Below are 6674 nucleotides of genomic sequence, written 5' to 3'. Positions count from 1 at the left end.
AGTATCTTTGTGGCGTTCTCTGTATTTCCTGAATCTGAACGTTGGCCTGCCTTGCTAGATTGGGGAAGTTCTCCTGGATAATATCCTGCAGAGTGTTTTCCAACTTGGTTCCATTCTCCACATCACTTTCAGGTACACCAATCAGACGTAGATTTGGTCTTTTCACATAGTCCCATATTTCTTGGAGGCTTTGCTCATTTCTTTTTATTCTTTTTTCTCTAAACTTCCCTTCTCACTTCATTTCATTCATTTCATCTTCCATTGCTGATACCCTTTCTTCCAGTTGATCGCATCGGCTCCTGAGGCTTCTGCATTCTTCACGTAGTTCTCGAGCCTTGGTTTTCAGCTCCATCAGCTCCTTTAAGCACTTCTCTGTATTGGTTATTCTAGTTATACATTCTTCTAAATTTTTTTCAAAGTTTTCAACTTCTTTGCCTTTGGTTTGAATGTCCTCCCGTAGCTCAGAGTAATTTGATCGTCTGAAGCCTTCTTCTCTCAGCTCGTCAAAATCATTCTCCATCCAGCTTTGTTCTGTTGCTAGTGAGGAACTGCGTTCCTTTGGAGGAGGAGAGGCGCTCTGCGTTTTAGAGTTTCCAGTTTTTCTGTTCTGTTTTTTCCCCATCTTTGTGGTTTTATCTACTTTTGGTCTTTGATGATGGTGATGTACAGATGGGTTTTCGGTGTAGATGTCCTTTCTGGTTGTTAGTTTTCCTTCTAACAGACAGGACCCTCAGCTGCAGGTCTGTTGGAATACCCTGCCGTGTGAGGTGTCAGTGTGCCCCTGCTGGGGGGTGCCTCCCAGTTAGGCTGCTCGGGGGTCAGGGGTCAGGGACCCACTTGAGGAGGCAGTCTGCCCGTTCTCAGATCTCCAGCTGCGTGCTGGGAGAACCACTGCTCTCTTCAAAGCTGTCAGACAGGGACACTTAAGTCTGCAGAGGTTACTGCTGTCTTTTTGTTTGTCTGTGCCCTGCCCCCAGAGGTGGAGCCTACAGAGGCAGGCAGGCCTCCTTGAGCTGTGGTGGGCTCCACCCAGTTCGAGCTTCCCGGCTGCTTTGTTTACCTAAGCAAGCCTGGGCAATGGCGGGCGCCCCTCCCCCAGCCTCGTTGCCGCCTTGCAGTTTGATCTCAGACTGCTGTGCTAGCAATCAGCGAGATTCCGTGGGCGTAGGACCCTCTGAGCCAGGTGTGGGATATAGTCTCGTGGTGCGCCGTTTCTTAAGCCGGTCTGAAAAGCGCAATATTCGGGTGGGAGTGACCCGATTTTCCAGGTACGTCCGTCACCCCTTTCTTTGACTCGGAAAGGGAACTCCCTGACCCCTTGCGCTTCCCAGGTGAGGCAATGCCTCGCCCTGCTTCGGCTTGCGCACGGTGCGCACACACACTGACCTGCGCCCACTGTCTGGCACTCCCTATTGAGATGAACCCGGTACCTCAGATGGAAATGCAGAAATCACCCGTCTTCTGCGTCGCTCACGCTGGGAGCTGTAGACCGGAGCTGTTCCTATTCGGCCATCTTGGCTCCTCCTCCCACATTTTCGTATGTTTTTATACATGGAGCAAGAGAGCAAAGAAAGGAGGAGGGGAGTTCTTTCTTTGCAGCTTTTAGTGATCATTCTGTAAATGGTAGTCCGTGGATTATTTCACATTTTATTGCATTAAATCTACACACTGACCTTGCTTTATTGACAGATATCTTCAGATTATATATGAAGCTTACAAAATTTAATGACTTTGATTAAGGTTACAAAGCTGGTTCACATTGTAACCTTGATCTAATTCCAAAATACATGCTCTCTTTGCTACTACACAATTATGTCAATTTAAAAAGCAAAATAAATTTGCTGCAATGTTGTCATTCTCCATAAAAGATGAACCTCAAACATGTACAGTGGACCTTTCAAGTGCCCATGATCATGAAAAAGAATCGGAGCGGGAAATATGGCATCTTTTGATGATGGTGTTTATTTAAGTAGGAGTGGCACAGCCTTGATTTTAAACATGACTGAGAAAAGATAGAGAAAGCTTCCCTGGAGATGAATGCAGTTGCCAAGAAAAATGCACAATTCAACCTTTCTTCACTCAATAGCAATTGAAGTATGAATGCATTTAAAGCCCTTCTAGTTCTGATTTCATATCTAATGTTATAGCAAGAACGTCAACTTTGATAGGAAGTAAGTTAATTTGCTAACCCCATGGCCTTCAAACAATAATAAAGACCCTTGCACATGTATTTTTTCTGACATATATATGTATATATATGTGTGTGTATATATATATATACACACACACACATACATATACATATATATATATATATATATATATATATATATATAAAATATATATATATATTTTTTTGAGATGAAGTCTCACTCTGTCGCCCAGGCTGGAGTGCAGTGATACAATCTCGGCTCACTGCAATCTCCACCTCCTGGGTTCAAGCAATTCTCTGCCTCAGCCTCCCAAGGAGCTGGGATCACAGGTGCCCACCACCACGCCCAGCTAGATTTTGTATTTTTAGTAGAGATGGGGTTCATCATCTTGGCCAGGCTGGTCTTAAGCTCCTGACCTTGTGATCCACCTGCCTCAGCCTCCCAAAGTGCTGGGATTACAGGCATTAGCCATCATGCCCGGCCTATACATTTATATTTTTACTTGTTTTTTCTCTCTCCATATATAGAGATATATGTGTGTGTGTACATATGTGCACGTACACAACTGTATGTCACTTAAATGACAAGAATACATTCAGAGAAATGGTTAGGTGATTCTGTAGTTGTGCAAACATCATACAGTATAGTTACATACATGTAGATGGTTTAACCTACCACATACCTAGACTATATGGCATATAGTCTGTTGCTCATAGGACACCATCCTGTACAGGATGTTACTGTGCTGAATACTCTAGGCAATTGTAACCATTGGTAAATATTTGTGTATCTAAATATATCTAAAAGATACCATAAACAAGGTATAAAAAATTTAAAATGGTACTCTTCTATAGGGCACTTACTAAGAATAAACCTTGCAGAAATGAAATCTGCTCTAGATGAGTCAGAAAGTGTGTGGAGTGAATGTCAAGGCCTAGCATGTAACTGCAGTTCATAAATACTCTAAACTTAGGTCACACTAAATTTATGTTTAAAAAATTCTTTTGTCAATAATAAATTAGCCTTAGTTTACTGTAACTTTTTAATCTTACCAACTTTTTAATTTTTTTAACTTTTTGACTCTTTTATAATAACACAGCCTAAAACACACATTGTTCAGTTGCACAAATATATTTTATTTTTCATATTCTTATTCTGTAAGCATTTTTTATTTTAAATTTTTTTTTTAGTTTTTTACCTTTAAAAACTTTTTTGTTAGAATTTTTTTTAATTTTATTATTATTATACTTTAAGTTTTAGCATACATGTGCACGACGTGCAGGTTTGTTACATATGTATACATGTGCCGTGTTGGTGTGCTGCACCCATTAACTCGTCATTTAGCATTAGGTGTATCTCGTAATGCTATCCCTCCCCCTCCCCCCACCCCACAACAGTCCCTAGTGTGTGATTTTCCTCTTCCTGTGTCCATGTGTTCTCATTGTTCAATTCCCACCTATGAGTGAGAACATGCAGTGTTTTGTTTTTTGTCCTTGCGATAGTTTGCTGAGAGTGATGGTTTCCAGCTTCATCCATGTCCCTACAAAGGACATGAGCTCATCGTTTTTTATGGCTGCATAGTATTCCATGGTGTATATGTTCCACATTTTCTTAATCCAGTCTATCTATCAACCTAGGCTTACACAGAATCAGGATCATCAATATCACTGCCTTCCACCTCCACATCTTGTTCCACTACAAAGTCTTCAGGGGCAATAACAAGCATGGAGCTGTCATCTTCTATTACAACAATGCCTTCTCAAATGCCTCCTGAAGGACCTTATTGAAGCTGTTTTATATTAAGGTTTTTTTTTTCTTTTTCTTTTTTTTTTTTTTTTTTTTGAGACAGGGTCTCACTTTGTCACCCAGTTTGTTGCTGAGGCTGGAGTGCAGTGGTGTGATCTCAGCTTCCCGCCACCTCGACCTGTTGGGCTCAATTGATCCTCCAGCCTCAGCCTCCCAAGTAGCTGGGACAACAGGTGCACACCACTATGCCTGGCTAATTTTTTGTTGTTGTTGTAGAGGCGGAGTTTCACCATATTTCCCAGGCTGGTCTTGAACTGGGCTTAAGCAATCTGCCTGCCTTGGCCTCCCAAACTGCTGGGATTACAAGCTTATAGTTAACTTTTAAGAATATATAAGTAGAAAGAAAGAGCACACTAAAATAACAACTAAAAGTGTAATATAGTGAATAGTAGGCAATAGGAATTTTTCAGCTACACTATAATCTTATGGGAGCATCATTGTATAGGAAGTCCATCAGTGACCAAAATGTCATTATATGGTACATGACTATGTAATCTATGTACGTATAACTATTATATAATAATTTATAGTATTACATATATAGTACACACAGGCACACATTACATATATAAAGATTATTCTGTTTCAGGTAACATTAGGCAATTCTAAATAGTTTAAGTATAAATGGGAATTTCTGGAATTATACTGGACTGTCTCATGGGATCAAAGAAAGTAGTGAATCAATAAACATCAAGCTGGAAATCAACTAGAATTTATGTAACCCAAAGACTTTGATATCAGGGGTTTATTAAACTTCTCTCCAGATTGTTGACATAAATATGGCTTAACTCACAATTTGATCAGCACATCTTAGATTGGTGTCCATTGGACAAGCCAAAACTGCCTGATGGTGCAAAGTTATATAATGTAGACATATAATAAAGACATGGAGATGAAAGAGATTCATCATTGTTTTGAGGGGGTAATAAACAGAGAAGAGGGAACAGTTGTTAGCCTGGATAATGCATTTTTCTATGATAATTTTGATGAAAACTTCCTCCAAACTTTATTTTTGGTTTCAAATAGTTCAAAAAATCAGGTCTGGTTAAGCATTCAGTACAGATATTGACTTAATTAAAATCTTGATTTTATGTAGTTGGGTCCTCTAGGTTTAGGAATTATTATAATAACAACATATTATATTTTTTAAAAAACAAAATGATGCATTCAGCATGACTGAGCCTCTACTCTATAGTAAGAACTTACCATGTTATATTTCCCAAATATAGCCATAACAGTATATATCCCACCCTACCTATTCCTCTTACAATGAGGGGTTGTCACTCCTGAATTGACAAGTTTGATCTATCCTCCTTTCCATTGAACCTGGGTAGTATAGAATACAAACAACAGAATTGGTGGAAGTGATAATGCATGCCAATCAAGGATAGGTCATAAAAGGCAACACAGTTTCTGCCTGGCACGCTCTCTCCCCCGGGAATGCTTGTTCTGAGGGAAGCAAGCCACCATGTTGTAAGAGACCACCTAGAGAAACCGAGGCCCTGGCTGACAACCAACATCAAATGCTAGACATACGAGTAAACAAGCATGTAGTAGGCCCCACCCTCCAGGCCTCCAGACACTCAGGGAAGGCGGCAGCCTTCCTTTGTTGAACCCTGGAGAAAGTGCAGATTCATGAAACATTTAAATGTTGTTGTTTTAAGCCTGTAAGTTTTGCACTGGTTTGTGATGCAGCATTAGCTAATTGGTACCAATATTGGTATCTGGATATTGAAAGACATGAAATTGTGGTAGTAGGTTTGTGACTAAGTAGCAGGTAGTAGTTGAAAGGATGTAGAGGAAATCTAATGGCCCTTTTGGAATCTATCAGTTATGGTGTAAAGAAAAGTGAAAAAATGTTCTTGGAAACTGAGGGAAATTAAGTGATTTCAGGGAGTTTAGCAAATGTGCCATGTGTCATAATGTGGCAAATAGAAAATGTCTCATGAACTGGGGGTCTAGCTGCAAAGACTTCCAGGCAAAGTGTTGAAGTTGTTACCTGGTTATATTTTTACTTGCTTATAATAAAATGTAAGAAGAGAGATTCAAGCTAAAGAAATAACTGTTAAATAAAAAAGAGTCAGTACTTAATGGGTTTGAAAATAAAACTGTTTCTCATTTCCATCTTCCTCGTTCCAAAATTAAGAAAGGGTTCTAGAGCAAAGATAAAATCCAGAGGAGACTATAAGATGCATTATTAAGACTTCAGAAAAATCTAAGGTAGTTTCTCAGAGAGTCATTTAGTCAGACCAATAGTATGCCTTCTGGATCTTTTTTATTCAACAAAAGGCCCTGAAAAGGTCATGCCCCACAGCTGATTTAGATAGAAAGTCTCAAGTACAGAAAATATTTTCTTGAATAGATTCATAAATTTGGATCTTTGTCAATTAGAATGGATTATAAACTAATTCATAAAAACCCCTCAAAGTTAAAAAGAATTACATCAGTTTAAACAAACAGATAAAGACAATACAAAATTAAAATAGGTCTTGGTATCTCCAAATTACTACTATGAGAAAGCATTCTGAGAAAACTGCACAGCTACAAATACCAGCCATTTCGAATGGAAAAATAGGATGACTCACGGAGTAAGGCTAAGAGGTAAATGGGTGGAAATGAGAACCATAGTGAACCATTGCAGGCATTAGACTGAGTTCTTACCCAGTAACCAGCATCATTTTCTAGCTGAATTTCAGAAGTACTATGGAGCAGTAA

Source organism: Homo sapiens, chromosome 10 (assembly GCF_000001405.40).
Source record: "Homo sapiens chromosome 10, GRCh38.p14 Primary Assembly".
Classification (NCBI taxonomy): domain Eukaryota; kingdom Metazoa; phylum Chordata; class Mammalia; order Primates; family Hominidae; genus Homo; species Homo sapiens.
This window is presented reverse-complemented; position numbering follows the sequence as displayed.